The sequence below is a fragment of the Homo sapiens genome, chromosome 5 (assembly GCF_000001405.40).
Source record: "Homo sapiens chromosome 5, GRCh38.p14 Primary Assembly".
Classification (NCBI taxonomy): domain Eukaryota; kingdom Metazoa; phylum Chordata; class Mammalia; order Primates; family Hominidae; genus Homo; species Homo sapiens.
In genome coordinates, this window is record NC_000005.10 from 131,248,808 (window position 1) to 131,273,222 (window position 24,415).

At 41.2% G+C, this 24,415-nt stretch overlaps 1 protein-coding gene across 10 annotated transcripts in view, besides 6 other annotated features; it reads left to right on the top strand.

Annotated features, from left to right (window-relative positions):
• CDC42SE2 (CDC42 small effector 2) overlaps nucleotides 1–24,415 on the top strand; it is a 184,621-nt gene that overhangs the window by 38,756 nt on the left and 121,450 nt on the right. For 6 of the 10 annotated variants that reach the window (XM_047417397.1, NM_001375635.1, NM_001375633.1 and 3 more), the window contains exon 1: nucleotides 15,246–15,359. The gene's annotated coding sequence lies outside the window, so the exon portion shown is untranslated. Of the gene's footprint in view, nucleotides 1–4,211; nucleotides 4,323–6,287; nucleotides 6,423–7,269; nucleotides 7,386–10,087; nucleotides 10,166–15,245; nucleotides 15,360–24,415 lie in introns of those variants that run through there. The other 4 variants (XM_047417394.1, XM_047417396.1, XM_047417392.1 and 1 more) reach the window with 4 other exon arrangements.
• Nucleotides 14,530–14,579: an enhancer, noted in NCBI's record as "active region_23045". NCBI's record gives its function as "activates an Ori minimal core promoter by ATAC-STARR-seq in GM12878 lymphoblastoid cells {active_cell/tissue: GM12878}" and the evidence as "EXISTENCE:reporter gene assay evidence [ECO:0000049][PMID:35858748]".
• Nucleotides 14,700–14,769: a silencer, noted in NCBI's record as "silent region_16304". NCBI's record gives its function as "represses an Ori minimal core promoter by ATAC-STARR-seq in GM12878 lymphoblastoid cells {active_cell/tissue: GM12878}" and the evidence as "EXISTENCE:reporter gene assay evidence [ECO:0000049][PMID:35858748]".
• Nucleotides 14,780–14,829: a silencer, noted in NCBI's record as "silent region_16305". NCBI's record gives its function as "represses an Ori minimal core promoter by ATAC-STARR-seq in GM12878 lymphoblastoid cells {active_cell/tissue: GM12878}" and the evidence as "EXISTENCE:reporter gene assay evidence [ECO:0000049][PMID:35858748]".
• Nucleotides 14,860–15,509: a silencer, noted in NCBI's record as "silent region_16306". NCBI's record gives its function as "represses an Ori minimal core promoter by ATAC-STARR-seq in GM12878 lymphoblastoid cells {active_cell/tissue: GM12878}" and the evidence as "EXISTENCE:reporter gene assay evidence [ECO:0000049][PMID:35858748]".
• Nucleotides 15,708–16,525: an enhancer, noted in NCBI's record as "H3K27ac hESC enhancer chr5:130600208-130601025 (GRCh37/hg19 assembly coordinates)". NCBI's record gives its function as "activates a minimal SCP1, AML or CMV promoter by ChIP-STARR-seq in naive H9 embryonic stem cells {active_cell/tissue: H9 hESC(naive)}" and the evidence as "EXISTENCE:reporter gene assay evidence [ECO:0000049][PMID:30033119]".
• Nucleotides 24,045–24,124: an enhancer, noted in NCBI's record as "active region_23046". NCBI's record gives its function as "activates an Ori minimal core promoter by ATAC-STARR-seq in GM12878 lymphoblastoid cells {active_cell/tissue: GM12878}" and the evidence as "EXISTENCE:reporter gene assay evidence [ECO:0000049][PMID:35858748]".

The following is a 24,415-nucleotide window of genomic DNA, read 5'->3' on the forward strand; positions in this document are numbered from 1 at the left end:
AAGTTCTGAATAAATGGAGAGCTGTACCTGTGTTAATGTGTAGGAAGACTTATTATTATGAATGTATCAATTGTCCCCAAATTTATCAAAATACCCAATGTAATTCCAATTAAAATTCCTACAAGAGCTTTAATGGAACTTGATAAGATTACTCTAAAATATATATATTGAAGATTAATAAGTGTCCATGAATAGCCAGGTTACATCTTTTTTTTTTTTTTTTTTTTTGATACAGACTCTTGCTCTGTTGCCCAGGCTGGAGTGCAGTGGTGCAGTCTTGGCTCACTGCAACCTCTGCCTCCTGGGTTCAAGTGATTCTCCTGCCTCAGCCTCCCGAGTAGCTGGGACTACAGGCATACACCACCACGCCTGGCTGTTTTTTGTATTTTTAGTAGAGATTGGGTTTCACCATGTTAACTAGGCTGATCACAAACTCCTGACCTCAGGCAATCTGCCCACCTCAGCCTTCCAAAGCTCTGGGATTACAGGCGTGAGCCACCACGACCGGCCAGGTTATTTCTAAAGAAGTATCAGGGAGAGAGGATTTGTCCCAGTAACTATTAATATTTATTATGAAACTAAAATTAATAAGATGGTGTGGGATTGGTGCAGCAAAAAATAAATTAACCAATGAAACAGAATGGATATCTTAGAAACTGACCCACACATAAATGTTTGATATATGATAAAGATGCCATGTCAGAAAAATGAGGAAAGGAGGATCTGTTTAATAAATATAGCAGGAAGAAACTGGATTCCTACCTGGCACTATATACAAAATCTCCTCCATTTGATTTGATGACTTTACTGTCAAAAACAAAAGTTAAAAACTCTTTGTAATTAACATCTCCTAGACAATATTAAAATTGAGAACTTTTGTTCGACAGCTTTATTGATCAGAAAAATGCAAATAAGGACTGCAGAGATTAGCTGGGTGTGGTGGTGCATGCCTGTAGTCCTAGGTACTCAGGAGGCTGAGGCGGGAGGATCACTTGAATCCAGGAGTTCGAGGTTGCAGTGAGCTATGATTGTACCACTGCACTCCAGTCTGGACAACAGAGTGAGATGCTGTCTCTAAAAAAAAAGAGCATAGGGAGATATCATTTTACGTTTATTCAAAAGGCAGCAACTTAAGGAGTCTGTGCTAAGTGTTGGGAAGGCTGTGGATCCATTGCTTATGAAAATGAAAGTTGGTTCTGGGGCATAATGGGTACTAAACAACAACAAAAACAGAAAATGCAAATTGGCAAATTGTGTCATTATCACTCCAAATTGAATATTCATATACCCTATGAGTCAACAATTCTACTGTTAGGTATACATCAAGAGAAACTCTTGCACATATACAACAGGCACCAGGTAAAAGGACAATCATAGCTCCACTTTTTACAAAAGCAAAAACTTGGAAACAACCCAGATGCATGCCCATCTACAGGAGAGTGGATAAATAATCTGTGGTACATTTCAACAGAAAATATTATACAACAATCAAAATAAGTAATTTACAGAGACAGCAACAATGTGAACTTATATTGACACATGTTAGTTGAAAAGAATAGGTTCTACACTATTACATAGAGGAAACAACAATTTCAGAATGAGCTATCAAGCCACAGAAATACATGGAGGAAACTTAAATACATATTGCTAAGTGAAATAGGTAAATCTGAAAATCATATTGTTATTCCAAATATATGACATTCTGGAAAAGGCAAAACTGTGGAGACAGTAAAAAGATCAATGGTTGCCAGGGACTGTGGAGCCAGGGTAGGGGGAGGTGGGAAGGTGAAAAAGAAATGAATAGGTGGAGCATAGGAGATTTTCAGGGCTGTGAAACCATTCTGGATGATACTATGTCATTACACATTTGTCAAAACCCACAAAACATATAATAAAAAGAGTGAACCCTCATGTAAAAACTATGAACTTTAGTTAACAAAACTATAGCTTGGGCCAGGCGTGGTGGCTCTATCTGTAATCTCAGCACTTTGGGAGGTTGAGGTAGGAGGATTGCTTGAGCTCAGGAGTTAGAGCCCAGCCTGGTAAACAGAGCAAGATCCCAGGGTCTCTTAAAAAATACTATGGTAATATTGGCTCAGCAATTACAACAAATATACCACATGAATCCAGCATGTCAACAAAAGGGGGAATTGGAGGGACGGACAGAGAGGGAAGTAGGGTTATATGAGAACTCTCTGTACTTTCCACTCTGTCAACCTAAAACTGCTTTTAAAAATTTCATTAATTTTAAATTTTTTAAATGTATTTTAAAAGAATATATAGATACAATAAAACTATATAAAAACAAAGCTAAGAAATGATTAGCAATAACAAATAAATGACTTAACATTTTGTGTATCTGTTTTATTCAATTACAATTTATCTGTTAACAGAATATGAAAGTAGAACTGAAATGCTTTTGTAGTGCGCAAAAGAATATGTTGGGCAGGTCTTGACTGGAGTAGAAGGGCATAATAATCCTCTTTGAATTCTTTCTCTTCTACACCAAGAAATCACTGTGGAGATAATTCTTTTTACTAAAGGTAATCATTTTCAAGAAAACTTTCATCTTTTCCCCATTTAGAAAATTCCCTGATATCAGCTTGTCAAACAGCCAAAATGTTAACATCAAGTAAGTTAATTTCCTTTCTCTTTTAAGTCATCAGCCTCTTCTAACAGGTTCTTATATTTTTATCTTTGCATTTAACATGCTTTTTAGTAAGATAGAATATGCAATTTTATATTGTGAGAGAAAGCAAAACTAAAAAAAGAAAAAAAATTGTCTGGAAAACAGTACATGAATAGCAGACTGCCACATGGAAATAACATTGCCCAGGTTGAATCCCATATGTGTGCAATTACTCTTCTAAGGAGATAACTCCAGCTAGTATAAAACTGTTCCAATTAATAAAAAATAAACCAGGGGCTGGGTATGGTGGCTTGTGCCTGTAATTGCGGAATTTTGGGATTCCGAAGAGGGTGGATCACTTGAGCCCAGGAATTCGGGACCAGCCTAGACACATAGTGAGACCTCGTCTCTACAAAAAAATAAAAATTAACTGAGCATGGTGGCACACGCCTCTGATCCTAGCTACTTGGGAGGCTGAGTTGGCAGGAGGATCGCTTGAGCCTAGGAGGTCAAGGCTGAAGTGAGCCATGATTGTGCCACTGCACTACAGCCTGAGCAACAGAGCAAGACCCTGTCTCAAAAAAGTAAGAAGAAAAAAAGAGAGAAAGAAAAAGAGAATGAGTGGAAGGAAGGAAGGAAGGAAGGAAGGAAGGAAGGAAGGAAGGAAGGAAGGAATCATGTAGGTACTATAATTTCAGGTTCTCACATACTATCCTTTATGAATGAAGGTTACAAGAAGCTTATCAAGGATAATTAATTAAAGTAAAGCAAGACTATTTTAAAGTTCAAAGGTTTTGTATGATACATTAAGCATATGTTCATATATTTGAACTTTACTCTTAAAGCAACATCTACTCTTAAAGCAACATCATTAGTACCTTTTGTCCTCCTGCCTGGCTCATTATCATATTCTAAATAAAGTCAAACTCCTTATCGGCCAGTTGCGGTGGCTCACGCCTGTAATCCCAGCACTTTGGGAGGCCGAGGCGGGTGGATTGCCTGAGGTCAGGAGTTCAAGACCAGGCTGGCCTACATGGTGAAACCCCGTCTCTACTAAAAATACAAAAAAAATTAGCCGGGCGTGGTGGCGTGTGCCTATAATCCCAGCTACTCGGGAGGCTGAGCAGGGGAATTGCTTGAACCAGGGAGGTGGAGGTTGCAGTGAGCTGAGACCACGTCACTGCACTCCAGCCTGGGTGACAGAGCGAGACTTCGTCTCAAAAACAACAACAACAAAAAACTCCTTATCATGATCTAGTGCCTCTTTTTGCAGGTCCAGCATCATCTGGGCCCACATGCACCCTTCCTCTAGCCCTGAACTCATTCTCTAGTTCCCTAAAGGCATCAGCCTCTCATATCTTCCTGATTTTATACATGTTATTCTTCTACGCACAGAGAATTTCAACTTTCCCTCCATTCTCGGGTAATTCCTCTCAAGCATCTGCTCTTTTAGGAATCCTTTCTGGACCCACACAGGTTAAGTCAAATTTCCTCCACTAGATCTATCTCTGTGATAATACTTCTAAACTGCGCAACTTCCTCTTCGCACAAGGGTAATGCTGGAGCCGGAAGCTGTGGTGGCAGTTTCTTGATTCAGCAGCTTCCTGACTAGAGATAGAGCCAGAGCAGAAGATGGGCAGAGTCTGCATGTGGCTGCAGGACCTCTGTCAGAGAATGAAACACTCATCGCATGGTAAGGCTGGTCTGAGAGCAAGGTCAAGATAAAGAGCCATATCCTAAAAAAAAAGAGAAGCAGCCAAAAGCTGTTTGGGTGTACGGGAGGTGAGCTTGGGAATACCTCAGTGGCGAAGGGATGTCAGAGGTAGTATGAGGTGAAAAGAGCTGTTGGAATACATAACAGTGCTAAATTGCTGGATTGTCTTCCACCATTCTTCATCACCATCCCAACAGCTTAAGGATAGAGATTTCTATCACGAAATCCCTACTACCTACTATAGCCACTCAATAGGTGGACAGCAAAAATCTGTTGCATTGAATTGATCCTATTAACTCTCCCTTAAAGACCATTCTTTAGAACTTCTTACAGGCCTGGCACAGTGACTCATGCCTGTAATCCCAGCACTTTGGGAGGCCGAGGCGGGTTGATCACCTGAGGTCAGGAGTTTGAGACCAGCCTGACCAACTTGGCGAAACCCTATCTCTATTAAAAATACAAAAATTAGCTGGGCATGGTGGCACATGCCTGTAATCCCAGCTACTCAAGAGGCTGAGGCAGGAGAATCGCTTGAACCCAGGAGGCGGAGGTTGTAGTGAGCTGAGATTGCACCATTGCACTCCAGCCTGGGCAACAAGAGTGAAACTCTGTCTAAAAATAAAAAAAAATTAAAAAAAGAACTTCTTACAAAGGATACTTTTCTAGGAAACTTTTCTTCCTCACTATGAAGGATTGTCTTTTGACAAATACTTGCGTTAGGTTTTTTTGGGAATCTCTCATAGTCACTTTCAGTGTTCCACCTTGCATTATGCATGTTCGGATGTGTCCTATATTTTCTGAGTCCACTTTAGGAGAAACACCACTGTCTGAATCATCTCTGAAGATTTCACAGGGCTTTCTGTTCAGTGGAAACACCACAGATTTTTTCTTCTTTTTATTATACTTTAAGTTCTAGGGTACATGTGCACAACGTGCGGGTTTGTTACATAGGTATACATGTGCCACGTTGGTTTGCTGCACCCATCAACTCGTCATTTACATTAGGTATTTCTCCTAATGCTATCCCTTCCCCAGCCCCGCACCTCCCCCCAGCAGGCCCTGGGGCACACCACAGATTTTTTCACATGTGTATAGAAATAATAAGTCTTGGTTGGGCACGGTGGCTCACTCTTGTAATCCCAGCACTTTGGGAGCCTGACGCGGGTGGATCACTTGAGGTTAGGAGTTCAAGACCAGCCTGGCCAACATGGCGAAACTCCATCTCTACTAAAAATAAAAAAATTAGCTGGCCCTGGTAGCCAGCGCCTGTAATCCCAGCCACTCGGGAGGCTGAGGCAGGAGAACTGCTTGACCCCAGGAGGCGGAGGTTGCAGTGAGCTGAGATGGCGCCACTGCACTCCAGCCTAGGCAACAGAGTGAGACTCCATCTCGAAAAAAAAAAAAGAGAGACAGAAAGAAAAAGAAAGAAAAGAAAAGAAATAGTAAGTCTTTAGGTGGCTGCTGTGCATTGCTCCTATTACCCACCATTTCTGATTTGCTTTAGTCTTCATTCTTGCATAATGGGTAGGTTAACTTAGAAAGAAAAAAGCTTATGTAGAACCAAAAGTCTAGTCCAATGTTTTTAAAGGAAAAGCAAATGACATGAATATATAATCATCTACTGAAGTTACTTTAAAAAGCAATGAAGCCAACATGCTTTCTACAGTGCAAGATAGATTTTTGTTTTAACCTAGTTATCATGGTTGCCAAGTATTACTTTAACTATGTAGCTTCGATTTGTCATATGTTTTGGAAATGAAATTAGAAATCTGTGTACCACTTACACCCTGATCCTCTGATTGAAGTGTGACTCATTATAACCAAGAACTGATGGGTAAAAAAAAAAATCTTCTAAGTTTGCTGTGTGCCAGAATGGGAAATATGTGTATGTGTGTGCTCATATATTTATAATTATCGCTTATCATTTATTTATGTTTATTTTAGAATTGACAAAGAGTAAAGGAGAATTTGCTGAAATACTTATTTAAAGTCTAGTACTAAGCTGTCGGGTACCATAGTCACTAGCTACACATTGCTACTGAGCACCTGAAACATGGCTATTCTGAATTGAGATGTGCTGTAAGTATAAAAAATTCTGAATTTGAAGTCTTAGTTTAAAAAATGTAAAATATATCATTAATACATTTTATATTAATTGCATGTTGAAATGACAATATTTTAAATAAATTATATTATTAAAATTACATTTTTTTAATGTAGTGACTTGAAAATTTAAAATTACATATGTGGCTTGAGTTATATTTCTGTAGGACAGCATTGGTCTATTGTATGCCATAATTTAGTTACTTTTACTATAAAAAGATTGCGAGAGAGCCGGGCGCAGTGGCTCATGCCCGTAATCCCAGCACTTTGGGAGGCCCAGGCCAGATCACGAGGTTAAGAGTTCAAGAGCAGCCTGGCCAACATGATGAAACCCCATCTCTACTAAGAATACAAAAATTAGCAGGGCGTGGTGGCATGTGCCTGTAATCCCAGCTACTCGGGAGGCTGAGGCAAGAGAATTGCTTGAACCCAGGAGGCAGAGGCTGCAGTGAGCCGAGATCATGCCACCGCACTCCAGCCTGGGTGACAGAGCAAGACTCCGTCTCAGAAAAAAAAAGATTGCAAGGAAGTTGTGAAAAGAATTCCACTATAATAATGGAGGCAACTTATTGATAGTCTACTATGCTGCAGGCATTGAGATTTTATATGAATTATTAAATTTAATTCTTGCCAAATCTTATTAGGTAATTATGCAAGCATTATTATATTTTATGATGAGTAGACTGGGACTCAAATATGTTAAGAAAATTGCCCAAAAGCCCAAGATCAGATAATCTGCAAAACAAACCCATATCCGCCTGACACTAGAGACCATTCTCTTTTTACTAAGGGACTTTGTCTTTCCACTGTCTTTCGTCTTCAGAGAATGGCACCATATGCTACCAGAAATTCTATTACCACCCACAAATGAGAGGACTACCAGCTTGTTACTTCAAAATAATGTCACATTTGCTTTTTTGCCCAAGTGGAAATAACACAGTAAGTCCCCATTTGCTAAATTATCAGGAATTCCAGTCTTTTCCCATGGTTTCCCTCCCCTGTATAATCATAAACAAAAATCCCAGGCTTGTTTGCTAATGCCTGAGAATTGATGCCTTTGTCTTTATGGCTTGACAATGGAGTGGAAACTCAGATACACTCTTGAGGCTAGAGGGTCACCTCAAAGATAGTCTAGAGAAGAGTTGGGTCTGTGACAGTGGCTGTGTTTTCTATTGCTGTGTGACAAATTAATATAAACTTAGTGGGCTGAAACAACATCCATTTATTAGTTCATACTCTCTGTTGGTCAGAAGTTCAGCACAGCATGGCCAGGTTCTCTGCTCACGGTATCAGGCTGAAATCAAGGTGTTTGCAAGTCAGAGTTCTCATCTGGAGGCCTGGGGGAGAATCTGCTCCCAAGCTCTTTCTGTTGTTGGTAGAATTCAGTTCCTTGAGGGTATAGGACTGAGGTTCTGTTTCCTTACTAGCTGTCAGCCAAGGGCCACTTTCTGCTCCTAGAGCCTACTTGCATTCTTTGCCATGTGGGCCCACCCCCATCTTCAAGTCAGCAACAAGCATCACGTTCTTTTCATTCTTTGAATCTTTCTGACTTCTCTTTCTGCCATCAGCCAGAGAAAACTCTTCACTTTCAAAGGCTCATGTAATTAGACCAGGCCCACTCAGATAATCTCCTTATGTTAAGGTCAACTATGACACACAACCTAACATAATCATAGGAATGCTATCTCATCCTATTCATAGGTTCTGGAGATTAGGACCCAGAGTACTGGGGTAAAGGGGTGGTGCATTTTTAGCAATCTGTCCATCACAGTCCTGGGGATTATGTAGGGCATGTACACCAACACAGTGACAGTGGCAGGGAACATAGCATCAGAACACTCCCAGCTACCCAGCCCAGCTAGTGGTGGGGTCAAAAGCAAGAGCTGAATCACTATGAGGCAGTAACACTTGCTGGGGGAGGAGTGTAGATGGGTGTGAAGAATCCTGGTTTGCCATCGTCCAACTTCACTTCCAATTTTTACTCACCATGAACTTTCTTTTTTAAAAAAATTATTATTATTTTAGTAGAGAAGTGTTTTCACCATGTTGGCCAGGCCGGTCTCAAACTCCTGATCTCAAGTGATCTGTCTGCCTCGGCCTCCCAAAATGCTGGGATTAGAGGTATGAGCCACCGTGCCCGGCCTCATGATGAACTTTCTTTATGAAAGCAACATGTATATCTCTGTGCTAGGAGGAAGTGGCAAGATTTCTGTTCCACTTGCTAATTTTTTTTTTTTTTTTTGAGACAGAGTCTTGCTCTGTCACCCAGGCTGGAGTGCAGTGGCACGATCTTGGCTCACTGCAACCTCTGCCTCCCAGGTTCAAGCGATTCTCCTGCCTCAGCTTCCCAAGTAGCCAGGACTACAGGTGCGCACCACCATGCCTGGCTAATTTTTTGTATTTTAGTAGAGATGAGTTTTCACCATGTTGTCCAGGCTGGTTTCAAAGTCCTGAGCTCAGGCAATCCACCTGCCTTGGTCTCCCAGTGTTTTAGGATTACAGGGGTAAGCCACCGCGCTCGGCCCCACCTGCTAAATTTAAGGGCACCAAATCTCCCGGTGCTTTGAGACCATCTAACAAGATATTCCGTTTCTCCTCTTCCTGGATTCCTGGTGAACCAAAGAGATGGGAGACCCCCTGGTGCTTGCTGAATGGCTTCCTAACACACACTGGTGCTAGTTCTGCTCGTTCTTCCGTGCTAAGGGGCTTCCTCAAGATACGGGGAGAAGTATCCTCTCCTCTGCAGCCCTGGTGCTGAGTCTTAATTGCCAGCAGAGTCCACTCCCTCTTGTTATCTGCCTTTTGGACTTCATCTTTCCCCACTCTTGTATGCCAGCCTGCCAATACTCAACTCAAGATCCATTGTGGTTCTTGCTTTCCCTGGGAACACACCTTTAAGATGTCAGTTTCTGAACTTTTGCTCACTAAGCTTTGTGCTTCCTAAATTAGTGCCACATCCCCTTTCTCTTTATTGTTTTTTTTTCTGTGTGAAATCTACCACAAGCTTTATCACCATTATTGTTTACTTGTTAAGTCTCTTTTAGCTGACTCATATTTTTAACTTTAACAAACATATAAAGGAAACTTGTATTACTACCATATATGTAAAATTGGTATTACTTGCCATATATAGATGTTAGCTGTTTAAAAAAAAGAAAAAGGAGTTCTTGGTTACTTAGTCTGTAACTTGACATAGCAGAGTGACCCCAAAGGCTCCCTTCCTCTTATCTTGTTGTCCCCAGAGGCATTTTGTTACAATTCCTAACTTTTTTTTTTGAGGTGAGGGGCTGCAATGCAATTGGATCACAGGCTATGTATTGAAGCTAGCCAAGCTGCATGTACCCTAATTTACCTCTCTCCATCCTTCCACTTCCCATCCCCAGTGAAGTGTATCACCTAAAATCATCTCCCACACCACGAGAGGTGTGCAATACATAGTTTGGGAAACACTGATCTGACTACCTTCTTCACAGAGACCCACCTCGAATTCCTTTCCCTTTGAAAAAACTTTTCTAACTAATTCAGACCTCAGTGATCCCCTCAACCACATTCATAAAGCTACTGTGTCTATTTATTCAAATGTTGATGTGTGACATTTCATTAAAGACAAAGACCATGCTTTATACTGAATTTTTCCACAGCACTCGGTATGCTACCTGGCAAACAGCAGGCATTCAATGAATATTTGTGGTTTGATGAGCAGCAAGGGTCAGCCACAGGTAAGAGTGTAAAGCAAAGTTTGACTTAGCTTGCCTTCCTATCTTTGGCTGCTTCAGTCACAGAAAGGGCCACTGTCCATGATTATTCTGACAGTTGGTTATTTTCTCCTTTCTCAATAAATTCCACAATTCCTGATTTTTCTCAATCTTCCCAAATCACAATTCATGTGCCATATGTCTCATTACCTTATTGACTAATTAGCTAAGATATCTGGGGTTTGCCATTAGATTTTATGATGCTTGCCTGTACCTTATAATTTTTTTGGTATCTTCTATCACACTAAAAACAGACCATGTATACATAATATACACTCAATAGATATACTGTATGTTGTATACATAAACAAATACATGTTGAATAATTTGTTTCTTGGAGTATGCCTGTTATATCTTTAGGAAAAAAATACTAAATTCCAAAAGTAATTTATATAACATTGGTCAAGTGGATTTACTAAGTTTGCTATTAGTTAATGTTCACAGCACAAGTATAGAAAGCTTTGTAGTTCTGACTCAGAAAAATAACAATTAAATCTTCCCTCTGCCTTTCCTCTTTCTTTTGATTCACTTGACTCATTCAGATGTTCCTATAAAGAAGCAATTTAAGTCTCTATAGCTTTACACAGAACTGGTGGTTTCTTCTCTTGTATCCCAAGCAGTTAGTACATACATCTAGTTAGGAATGATCATCTAATTTATCAGCAGACCTAGACACAACTGAGAATGAAAGAAGACACAAATAACTCTTAAGCCAGGACAAGAGATTCCTGATAAATCAGGAAATATGGTCATACTACTTTGAATGTAGTTATCTATTAAATGTGTCTCTTGTCATTCAACTGTAAAGCTGTGTTAAGTTTGAGCCTTATTTCTCTTAGCTTCCTTTGTTGCCTGGAATTGTGTCTGGCACGTTGTGGTGGCAGAAGAAATGTTAGTGCCCCTTTAAAAATGTTCATTTATTTAAACATTATACTATATTGATGTAGAACTCATACCATCCCATTTGGGGCCTTTTATGAGCCATTTTCTCAGTATTACAAATGTAGAACAATGAGCTTAATTATATGCTTGTGTAATGATAATAACTAGCTTTTACCAGCACAGCCTGTTCCAAGGCTAAGGCTAACGATTTTACTTGAGTTCTCTTATATATTTCTCACAACAGACCTCACAGGTAGGTAATATTATTGGTCTTATTAAACTAGAAGAAAAGATAGGTTTAGAAAAAACTTTGTTTAGAGTCACCTAACTAATTATGCAGCAGAATTTGGATTTGAACTCCAGACTCTGACTCCGTACACCATGTCTCCTAAATGTTAGAAAGAACTGCTATAAAATTTTGGAAAAGAGGATTTAAAAAACATTAATAGTGGCTGGGCACGGTGGCTCCCGCCTGTAATCCCAGCGCTTTGGGAGGCTGGGGCGGGCGGATCACCTGAGGTCAGGAGTTCAAGACCAGCCTGGCCGACATGGTGAAACCCTGTCTCTACTAAAAATACAAAAATTAGCCAGGCGTGGTGGTGGGCGCCTGTAATCCCAGCTACTCAGGAGGCTGAAGGAGGAGAGAATCACTTGAACTCAGGAGAGGAAGATTGCAGTGAGCCAAGATTGCACCACTGCACTCCAGCCTGTGTGACAGAGCGAGACGCTCTCTCAAAAAAAAAAAAAAAAAAAAATTAATAGGCCGAGTGCAGTGGCTCACACCTGTAATCTCAGTACTTTGGGAGGCCGAGGCAGGCGGATCCCCTGAGGTCAGGAGTTCGAGACCAGCCTGGCCAACATGGCAAAACCCTGTGTCAACTAAAAATAGAAAAATTAGCCGGGCGTGGTGGCAGGTGCCTGTAATCCCACCTACTTGGGAAGCTGAGGCAGGAGAATCATTTGAACCTGGGAGGCAGAGGTTGCAGTGAGCCAAGATAGTGCTATTGCACTCCAGCCTGGAAAACAAGAGCAAGACTCCATCTCAAAAACAAAACAAAAACAAAAATTAATAGTATACTTTTAGGGAAAATCCATTTGCTTTAAAAATTTTAAGGAAAATTTATTTAAGTAAAAGATTGCAGAATCAGGCCAATGTGGCTGTTATATGAGCTCAAGGCTATTTAGCAGTTGGTTAGAACAACATGTTCCTTCCTGTTGTTTTTGGTGTAATGTTTCCACTTGTTATGGACTAATAGGAATGCAAAACAGTTTCTTCTGGACTATAATAGTTGCATTTACTTTTATCGGTATTTTCACTGTATATTATGTGAATAAATTATGAAGAGTGTCTATTTTTTACCCTTGTCCTTCTTTTGGAATAAGATTTTACTTGGTAACAATTTTAAGGACAGTGCACAGATACATCATAATGACTCTAGAAAAATTTTATTTGGTATTATTGTAATTACAAACTACAGATTAACATTGATGAAACACATTGTCAATTTTTTTATAAACAAAAGTCTATTTAATTTTATAAAAAATCAAATTGTAACATGTAATCTGTAGCTTTAAATTGTTTTAAATCATAAAGGATAAATTAAATGTGTAAAGAGACTGCTATGAATATAACATTGAGCAAATAATTATGCACACATACTCTACAAAAAGTATCATCCAGACCAGACACCGTGGCTTACACCTGTAATCCCAGCACTTTGTGAGGCGAGGAGGGCGGATTGTGTGAGCCTGGGAGTTTCAGACCAGCCTGGGCAACATAGTGAGACCCTGTCTACCAAAAACACAAAAATTAGCTAGGTGTAGTAGTGTGCGTTTGTAGTCCTAGCTCCTTGGGAGGCTGAGGTGGGAGGATCACTTGAGCCCGGAAGACAGAGGTTGCAGAGAGCCGAGATAGCACAGATTAGGCCACTGCACTCCAGCCTGGGTGACAAAGTGAGACCCTGTCTCAAAAAAAAAAAAAAAAAGTGTCATTCAACTGAATGGCATTGTGTCCTTAATTGACTTTTTTTTTTTTTTTAACTGATGAGAAGGGTGCATGAATAGCTATAGCAACTGAAATTAGATCATGGTATTCAATCACGTAATGTTTTGTTACAAAATATGAAAAATCTGAAAATAAATGTTTACATAATGAATACTACCCTTTATAGGTAAATGATAGAAAATTTACTACTTAAGGCATTCACACAAGGTTACTACATTTGTAATTCAAAGGGAGGCTTACAAGCACATATATCAAGTTCGGGAATTTTCTGGTTTTTTTTTTTTGTTCTAGGAAATTTTTAGAATTAATAGTCTTTATGTAACCTTCCTCTACTCTATCATGTTATTCTCATTCAGTGAAATAGGATTGTAGCGTATCATTGGTCAAAAAACTGCATTAAAAGTCAAGTAAATGGTCATCACTGTACTCACAGTAACTGGAAAATCAAAATGCTTATGGTATGATGTAGATAAAGATCTTATGGTTAACTGAAACAGAAACCAAGAGAAAATTTAAAATAAAAAAAATTGGTCATTTTTTGTTGCTTTAGTTTTTTTTAATCTCAGGGAATTTTTAAATTTTTCATTTATTCTAGGGACTTGGGATACATCAGTTGAACAAAACAGACAAAAATCCCAGCTTCTACTAGGGAAGGCAGACACTAAAAGCTAAACATATCAGATAAATACAGGCATACCTCAGTATCCGAGGGGGATTGGCTCTAGGACCACGACCAGTACCAAAATCCTCTCAGGTCTCTAATATAAAATGATATAGTATTTGCACATAACCCACATATATCCTCCTGTATAAATTATCTATAGATTACTTATAATACAATGTAAGTGCTATGTAAATAGCTGTTATATTGTATTGGTTTTTATTTGTATTTTTAAATTGTTGTGTTTTTTTTCCCAAATATTTTCCATCTGTGGTTGGTTGAATCCAGAAACGCAGAAGCCATGGATGCGGAGGGCTGACTCTGAATTATAAAGATTGTTACAAGGTGGGAAGTGTCATGGGATGAAAGGAAAAATAGTAAGGTAGGAAAGATGGAGAATTTTTTTTTTTTTTGGAACACGTGTCACTCTGTCCAGCCCAAGCTGGAGTGCAGTGGCCTGATGATGGCTCACTGTAACGTAACTCCTGGCCTCAGCCTCCAGAGTACCTGGAACTATAGGTACACGCCAACACACCAGGGTAATTTTTTTTTTTTTTTTTTGTAGAGACAGGGTCTCGCTATGTTGCCCACTCTGTTCTATTTTGAAGGTACAACCAACAAGCTTTCTTGACAGATTGAAAGTGAAAATGAGAGTATGAGAGGAGTTATGGATGATATAAAGTTTTTGGCCTGAGTAACTAGAAATCCTCGCCATCAACCTAGAATGGGGAAGACCATACATTACTTACAGGTTCGAGAGCTTACTTCAGTGGCATTACGCTATCCTTTTGAACTTACGATAAAGTTTTGTAGGCATTTTGGTGGACTGCTGGCTGCTAGATAGGGCACTCATGTTTCTGATTTCTGAGATATGTAAAATACACACCCAAAGGAATCACAGAAGTCTAGTACATGTGTAATTTTCACGCATTTCAAACCAGGTGGTTTAGCCAGCCTTAAACCAGTTAATGACTGATTGAACGATTCTGACTTTTACATGAAAAAGCAGTGGTCAGAGGATGGGCTCTCAACCGCTACTGAGAGACCCCTCATCCCACAACCGCTCAGCACCCACCCACCCACCCTCGCCTGTGCGCGTCCACCGCCCCACAACGTGCGCAGACGTCGCTCCTCCGCACGGATGTCCGCGGCCCGGGCCGGGGTGGGAAGGGGCTCCCCCACGCTCCCGCCCAGGTTTGGTCGCCATCTTTCGGAGCGTCCTTTCCCGCGAGTGCTGCAGTCCCGGATCTCAGGCGTCCGTTAGCTACAGAGGCCAATTCCTAACCCGCGCGGCTCGAATCCCGGGGGTCCCATCGCCTGCCGGCCGATTCGCCCATGCCGGAGGTACGGCGGGGGCGGGGCCTGGCGGGGGGCGGGGCCAGCACTGCGGTCGCTGCAGCTGCGCAACGGCGCCCGCCCCTCCGGCCGCTCTAGGGGCGCGCGCCGCCTCTCGCTCCGCCCAACCCGCGCGCGAGCCTGGGCGGGGAGGGGGAGCCAGGAAGCTGCGAGCGCGCTGGGGAGCGCAGCTGCAGGCGTTGGGGCGGCAGGAGCCGCGGAGCCGGCGCTGAGAGGGGCTGCGGCCGGAGCGGGCGGCTGAGACAAAGGCGACGGTGAGTGCAATGCCAGCCCCAGTCGCGCGTCGGCCGCCACGCCTCGCCCTCTCGGTCCCTTGGGCGGGGTCCCGAAGCCCCGAACCCTCGTCCCTGAGGGCTCTGGGGTGAGCGCGGCCCGGCCTTGCCAGCCGCGCGCTGCGGGCTGTGGGCTGAGCCTGCGTCTTCCATTTCAGGTTTGGGCGAGGTCCTCATGCCCTAGGACCCTGCCTTTGGTTTTTCTTCTGTTTCCTCTGAGGAATGGTTACACGCTCAGTTCAGAATTCACGGCAGGCGGACAGCTGAGGCAGCCAACTGACCGCCTGATGTAAAATGGAAAGGCAGACCCCCCCCCTCCCCCCAACTTTTCACGTCTGGAAGTCGGGAGGGTGGTGCGAGGGGCGGGCGGGGAGGGCCCGGGGTCTCTAGGTGAGGGTTTCGGGGAGCAAAGACACCTGGCTCCGGAGCTCCGACTCTTCGCCTGAGGCGCCCGACGCGTTCAGTCCGCGGGTCCTGCCGCGGTTCGCCCCGGGCCCCGGGCTTGAAAGCCCTTGGCTACCTCGTCGCGGGAGCTGAGCTACTCTTACAGGTTGTTTTACCCAGTGCTTGCAGCTTTAAGTTGCGATTTTAGGCAACGGGTGTGGTAGGTAGCGGCTCCTTGATGCCGCATTAACAGCTGAAAAAGCGCCCCGATCCGCTGACTTCACTATGTGTAAGAAACAACATTGGGGATTCCTCTTTAGCTTGCAATTATTTTAAATGATAAGCTTTTTTAGGGGAATTTTGGGGGGTGATGTGCAGTTTACAAAATCTAAATGTTTCGTTGAAGGGCCTGGCTTATAGTACGTGCTCAGTAAAGTATTTGTTGAATGAATGAATCTTGAAATATCAGACAAAGCTTATCTCACATCTAGTAAAATTTAGGCACATACTCCTTGATTATGATTAAGGAAAGAATGTCGGCAAACAGTATGTATTTTTGATATACGTTTTTTAGTTTTTGTCCCACATAACATACTGTTGATGAACAGTCCGTTCTTACTCTCAATATTATGAACATAGAAAATATATATCAAATTTGGATTTTCTCTTTTGGTTTGAGAGAAGTTGGTATACATTTTCTGTTTCTTAAAAACAGGCCTTATTTCTAATCTTTAAAAATAATGGAGAAGATAAAGAGGGAGTGGGATTGTATTTTGAAACCCAGCTTTCTGTTTCATTATGAATAAAGGAGTTTATGTGTTTTTGAGAAGGGACTGTGGTATGGTCTTGCTGCTTTTTGAGCAAGGGAGAACTCTAAATTTAGGGGGGGAAAAGCTAATGTTGCACTAATATAATAAAATGTCACCATTTACTCAACAGATATTCATTAAGCACCTGTTTATGGGCACAGGCAAAATCCGCAATTATCCTTTTCTTAAACTTGAATGCAAAGTTATTTCCTTATTATTGATGTCGCAAGTGGTGACTGTCTTAAACCCCTAGTGGCTATTTCAGTTGGGAAAGATGGCAGGTGAACTGCAGGAAGTGTAAATTCATAACAGCCTTTAAAGGTTAATAAGTAACTTTGTACAGCTAAAATTATTGGGTTAAGCTTTTATATTGTCAGTTTAATAGAATCTGTCTACATTTTAAAATGAAGGGAGGAAGACATTTAATAAGCTAGTGTTTTTATTATCTCCCTGGTCCCTATTAGGAGACTTTGGTACAGTGTATTGAAGGGTAATGTACTTCTGGTCCTGTTTTCTGTAAATAATCTTTGTAATAACATTTTCTGTTTTTAAAAATCCCCAGAGATAAACAGTAGATTCCTTTTCTATAAGAAATGTTTTAAAATAAAGCTTCATTTCAGGAATTTTATTTTGTCCTTGTGTTCACCACTTACAAATAAATGCATATAAACTTGATAGTGCTAAAAAGGGAAGGATTATTAGTAATAATTTGTGGTTCCATATGTGGACTTATCTTTTAGTATTGCAACTGTGATAAAACTACTAATTTAAAAGGATGAGATTTGTAGTTTTGCATTTATTCTGAACATAAGGTTGCGTTGCCTATTTTAATCTATTTATATATGTTTAAAAAGCAGTAATATTTTATTTATTTCAGGAATCCAGACTAATGTGATCCAAAGTCTGTCTTGATTATTATGAAATAATGTAGATATTAATTTTTTTATAGTTAGCTTTTTTGTATTTAAGTGGGCTGTTTTGACTGTTAATGCTTATAATACTTAATACATTGTTAAAGATAATGTTTACATTCAAATAGAAGTTTCAGATTTTGGACTTACCGGCTATTAGCTTTTTTTTTTCTTTTTTTTTTTTTTTTCGAGACGAAGTCTCGCTCTGTCACCCAGGCTAGAGTGCAGCGGTGTGATCTCGGCTTACTGCAACCTCCGCCTTTGGGGCTCGAGCTATTCTCATGCCTCAGCCTCCCATGTAGCTGGGATTACAGACATGCGCCACTATGCCCTATTTTTTGTATTTTCAAAAAGAGACGGGGTTTCTCTGTGTTGGCCAGGCTGGTCTCGAACTCCTGGTCTCAAGTGATCTGCCCGCCTCGGCCTCCCAAAGTGTGCTGTTAGCTTTTTATTGTTGTTTCTAGAAAAAATAAGGAAAGTAATTCTTCAAATTTTAGTGATAGAGAATTGTGATACTTTTTCTTTAAATGTGTATTTCTCGGAAGAAGTTACCTGACAATGTACCACTGATAGTCTGGTGTTGATGACAAACCTACTTGTAAATGGTAATAGTGATGATAAAGAACAAGTAAATAAGGTGTGATGTGTTAAGTAAAAGTGTTTGGCTTTTTTTTTTTTTTTTTTTTTTCGGATAAGCACATCATCAGAATTCTTGACAATCAGCAGCTGCGTTAAAATATATTTTTCCAAGAAATCAGAACTCATAATTTTTTTTTTTTTTTTTTGAAACGGAGTCTTGCTCTGTTGCCAGGCTGGAGTGCAGTGGCGCGATCTCGGCTCACTGCAACCTCCACCTCCCTGGTTCAAGCAATTCTCCTGCCTCAGCCTCCCAAGTAGCTGGGACTACAGGTGTGTGCCACCACACCCGGCTAATTTTTGTATTTTTAGTAGAGACAGGGTTTCACCGTGTTGGCCATCCATGATGGTCTCGGTCTCTTGACCTCGTGATCTGCCCTCCTTGGCCTCCCAAAGTGCTGGGATTACAGGCGTGAGCCACCACGCCAGGCCATAATTTTTTTTTTTGTACCTTAAAAATACTAGTGTTTTCAAAGTATTGTTCCTTCCTTGGAGTAGTTCATAATGTTTTGAGGCTAAATAAATTTCAGGATTATCTTGTGTTATAATTGCTGGAATATTTGAAATGTTGGTGTTTTCTTCATCAGGGTATGTGTGTCTGTTGGGGAGAGGGTAGTTCATTTTTTTGTAAGACCTTTTAGAATGATTTAGAAAGCATTTCTTTTTCCTCAGATGTGATTAATAAAGTGATTAATAATGATACTAACATGGCATATTGCAGCTGTGCTCATATTTGCCTGTGTAGATCATGAGAGTTTTAATTTAAAAAAGTTTATTTAAATACTTCATAACTAATTTCTCACATTATTTTCTGGGATAGGTTGCTGTTATGTTTTAAAGTCCCAGTTGTCTTTTTTAAAATTATGAAAGGGTTTATTTAGGTTCCTCATCTGCTTTAAAATGAGTCTGGGATAGTTTGTTAAGGTTTTATAAGATTTTTGTCAAAATTAAAAATGCGTGTTGGTTTTGATCTGCTGTATTGTTCTTATTCTCAATTTTCATGAAAAATATTTTAACATTTTATTGAATATTTAATGTTAGTAATGTTTTAGTCAGTCTCAGGGGGACATTATAGTTTTCCTGTGTCGTCTTGAGAGGAACTTGAGAGAAGTACATGTACATGCTTATTCTTTTTTTTTTTTTTTTTTTTTTTTTTTGAGACGGAGTCTTGCTTTGCCCCCAGGCTGGAGTGCAATGGCGCAATCTCGGCTCACTGCAACCTCTGTCTCCTGGGTTCAAGTGATTCTCCTGCCTCAGCCTCCTGAGTAGCTGGGATTACAGGTGTCTGCCACCATGCCTGACTAATTTCTATATTTTTAGTAAAGACAGGGTTTCTCCATGGTCATCAGGCTGATCTCAAACTCTTGACCTCAGGTGATCCACCCACCTTGGCCTCCCAAAGTGCTAGGATTACAGGCGTGAGCCACCGTGCCCGGTCAAGCTTATTCTTAATATTTACTTGCTAGTTAGGTGAGGGCATTTTTTTCTTATGTTTTTCATACTACCTGGGAAAACTTGGAATTTAACTTTTCTTTTTTTTTTTCTGAGACGGAGTTTCACTCTTGTTGCCCAGGGTGGAGTGAAATGGTACAATCTTGGCTCACTGCAACCTCCACCTCCCCGGTTCAAACAATTCTCCTGCCTCAGCCTCCCGAGTAGCTGGGATTACAGGCATGCACCACCATGCTCGGCTAATTTTGTATTTTTAGTAGAGACGGGGTTTCTCCATGTTGGTGAGGCTGGTCTCGAACTCCCGACTTCAGGTGATCTGCCTGCCTTAGCCTCCCAAAGTGCTGAGATTGGAAGCATGAGCCACCACACCCGGATTGCTTTTTTTTTTTTTTTTTTTTTGAGACAGAGTCTGTCGCCAGGCTGGAGTGCAGTGGTCCCATCTCGGCTTACTGCAACCTCTGCCTCCTGAGTTCAAGCAACTGTCCTCCCTCAGCCTCTCGAGTAGCAGGGACTACAGGCGTGTGCCACCATGCCTGGCTAATTTTTGTATTTTTAGTAGAGCCGGGGTTTCACCTTGTTGGCCAGGATGGTCTCGATCGCTTGACCTCGTGATCCGCCCACCTTGGCCTTCCAAAGTGCTGGTATTACAAGCGTGAGCCACCGTGCCAGGCGAGGAATTTAGCTTTTAAATTATTAGTTTTATGCATCCTGCTACCTTGGTTCAAAGCTTAAGTATACTTGTATCTTTCTATAATACTAACAAATAATGAGTAGTGCAGGATTTAGCTGAGACTGCTTTGGGCCCTCATCCAAAGGGAGTTCCTGAATTGAAATGCCAAGAAGACTTGGTAATAAGTTGTCTTAATCCTGACACTGTAAAATACCTGTTAATGTATTTTAGTCAAATAGATTATGGTAAAACATACTCCCTCTTTTTCCTAGAAAGTATTAGGTTAATTTCATATTAAATCTAGGTACCTTTGAAATAACTAAATTATGAGCCCTGATATATCTGTTTTCTTGCTTACCCACTTAGAAACTCATGCTGTGATTTCATATTTAATCTGTATGATCGAATTTTTTTATCTTGTACTAAAACATAAAATTATTGGCCGGGCGTGGTGGCTCATTCCTGTAATCCCAGCACTTTGGGTGGCTGAGGTGGGTGGATCACCTAAGGTCAGGAGTTCGAGACCAGCCTGGCCTATGAAACCTTGTCTTTACTAAAAATACAAAAATTAGCCAAGCATGGTGGCACATGCCTGTAATCCCAGCTACTTGGGAGGCTGAGGCAGGAGAATCATGTGAACCCGGGAGACAGAGGCTGCAGTGAGCCGAGATTGCGCCACTGCACTCCTGCCTGGGCAACAGAGCGAGACTCCATCTCAAAAAAAACAAAACAGGCAGGGTGCCCTGGCTCACGCCTGTAATCCTAGCACTTTGGGAGGCCGAGGTGGGTGGATCATCTGAGTTCGGGAATTTGAGACCAACCTGGCCAACATGGTGAAACCCCATCTCTACTAAAAATACAAGAGTTAGCCGGGCGCGGTGGCTCAGGCCTGTAATCCCAGCCACTTGGGAGTCTGAGGCAGGAGAATTACTTGAACCCAGGAGGCAGAGGTTGCAGTGAGCTGGGATGGCACCACTCTACTCCAGCCTGGGCGATGGAGCAAGAGTATCTCAAAAAAACAAAAAAACAAACAAAAAAAAACAACTGGCCGGGCATGGTGGCACATGCCTGTAATCCCAGCACTTTGGGAGGCTGAGGCGGGCAGATCATGAGGTCAGGAGATCAAGACCATCCTGGCTAACACGGTGAAACCCCATCTCTACTAAAAGATACAAAAAATTATCCGGGCGTGGTGGCAGGCACCTGTAGTCCCAGATACTAGGGAGGCTGAGGCAGGAGAATGGCATGGACCCGGGAGGCAGAGCTTGCAGTGAGCTGAGATCACGCCATTGCACTCCAGCCTGGGCGAAAGAGTGAGACTCCGTCTCAAAGAAAAAAATAAAAAAATAAAAACAACAACATAAAATTATTTTTGTTTCATTTGACTTAATAAAACTTTCACTTTTTGTTTAGTAAAGCAAAAATGAATTTTGAGTACATTCAACATTGTGTATGTTTTACACCGTATATATAGAGGGAATTTATGGGTATCTGTGGAACTGAAAGGTTTAATGGGTGGAACTTGGTAAGGTTTAAGCAAAATACAACTTTCACTGTGCCTTCAAAACTCTCCCTGTAGACTAAGTCTTTCTCTGCTTCTAGATGAGCTTTTAGCGTGATCAGATAGCTTTTTAAGTCACTTTTAGGTAACAAAAAGTCTTCTGGTCACTTGTCAATAATAGTTTTATTTTAGTCATTAAAAGGTACAGTATAGTAGTGTTCAAACTCTTGTAGATTTCAGAACTTTTCTTTGGCTCAAAACTGCTTTGAACCTAGAAGCTTGTTTTGGAGGAAGAGTCGTACTTAGTTGGCTTCTCTTTTTACTTTGCCAGGTCTTCTTCAGTATGGTATTCCTACCACTTCAGGATGCAGCTTAGGATTACAGAGAAAAGATATAGGGGGGAAGGTGGGGGAAGGTATAGTTTTATTGTGGCTTATCTGATTGTGATCTGGCATTTTTGCCTTCTGAGTTGGCGAGGTTGTGCAAAGCTGACTCTTTCTTCAGGAGTGCTGGAAGTGGTTGAGGATTCTATGTCTAGGAAGCTCCAGCTATAATTCCTGTGATACAGTTCTCCAGCTCCAATTTAGCCTTCCAGTTTCCTTTATCTTGCAGGTTCACTTTGCCCAGGGTGAGATTTTTCTTTAGTCTTTAAGGTAGTTCTATAACATTTTAACCAGAACTGCCCATGCTTTATTGAGGATATTTCATAGACACAATTTCATTAATTCCACTGGGGTCTCAGCATCCTGTCTTTCCAACTCCTTCCATAAAATGCAGTAGACCCTCCAAATCATCAGATTTCACATCTGAGGATTTAGCCAGCCAAGGATAAAAAGTATTTAAAAAGAAAAAACAGAACAAAAAGGGTAAAAAGCTACAGTATAACAATTATACATGGCATTTATATTTTATTAGGTATACATAGTCTAGAGATGATTTAAAGTATACAGGTGGATGTGCCTAGGTTATATGCAAATACTGTGCCATTTTATGTATGTAAGGGACTTCAGCATCTGGGGATTTGGGCCAGGGTGGGGCAGGGTTCCTGGAACCAATCACCCATGGATACCGAGGGATGGCTGTAAACGTTTCTTCAACAGTACTTCTGTATGTCTGCGATCTGTAATCCATTGCTGCCATCACCTCTTTGCTGTCCCAAGACCACCTCCTTCCATGTCCTCACTGGAGTATTTACCCTGCCTTAAATTTGTGGTCCACTATTATAATTTTGCCTTTTCATACACATTCAACTCCCTTGCGGCATTCTTCTGTTGTAATTCACCTGGCCAAACCCTTACCCCCACACCCTTTGTGTCCAGTTCTCCATCTGTTCCAGCATACATCTGGGAAGTTGAGCATGCTTTGAGGAAAACACACCCAAGCTGACCTGGCTCTCCCTTTAAATTCATGACCACTGACCTAAGGAGGGCCCTTTGTGTTGCTGGTTGTTTTTGTTTTGTTTTGTTTTGTTTTCGCTTTTTGAGATGGAGTCTCACTGTGTCACTCAGGCTAGAGTGCAGTGGCGCGATCTTGGCTCACTGCAACTTCTGCCTCCCAGGTTCAAGTGATTCTCCTGCCTCAGCCTCCCGAGTAGCTGGAATTACAGGCGCCCATCACCATGCCCGGCTGATTTTTGTATTTTTTTTTAATAGAGACAGGGTTTCACCACGTTGGACAGGCTGGTCTCGAACTCTCACTCCTGACCTCAAGTGATCCACCTGCCTTAGCCTCCCAAAATACTGAGATTACAAGCGTGAGCCACTGCACCTGGCCTAATCCTTCTGTAATCCTAGTACGTTTCCTGATTTAATCACCACAGATTACTTTTAATACCTCTCGTCAAACCTCTAGCCTCCCTTTTTTCCTCTTCATTTTCAGCTCATGACCTTGTTTCCTGTATGTTAAAAATGAAAGCGATCAGAATAAAACTTTTATACGTCTCCTTGTATCTTTACCCATACTTTGCCTTTCCTACTATTCTGTCATCATGGTCTCCACTCGTGCTCCTTTCTCCTTTTAAGGACATTGCATTGCTTCAGTATTCATCTCATTCTCCTGCATTCTAATGAGCTGCATCATTTCCCCATTTCTACTGGATTATCCCTATCAGCATATAGATGTATTGAAATATCTCCCATCTTTAAAAAAACACCTTTCCAAATGCCACATCTTCCTTTAGTTACTCCTCTCCAAAAAGGTAAATATTTGTTGTCATCCGCGCTCCCTGTCTTGTTTGGATCCACTACAATCTGCTTTTTTTCTCTTTCATTCTACCATAACAGCTCTTTTTGAGATTATTGAGTGACTTTGTTGGTGGTAAATTCCCTAGTTCTCAAGCCTAATCTCAGTGGATGTAGAAGCAATAGCAGCATTTGATGTGGTTGATAACATCATGTTTGAAATCTTCCCTTTGTTTCTGGCATATTACTGCCTGTTTTCAGTTTCTTTTGTTGGTTCCTTTTCATTGCCCCAACTTCTAAAAAATGAGGCAGTGTTTCAGGGACATATGTTTAGACCTCTTCTATATTTATATTTAGTTTTAGTCCCCTGTGATCTCATTCTGTCTAGCTAGAATTATATACATATATATATATTTTACATTTTTTTATAATTTTTTTTTTTTTTTGAGATAGAGTCTTGCTCTGTTGCCCAGGCTGGAGTGCAGTGGCGTGATC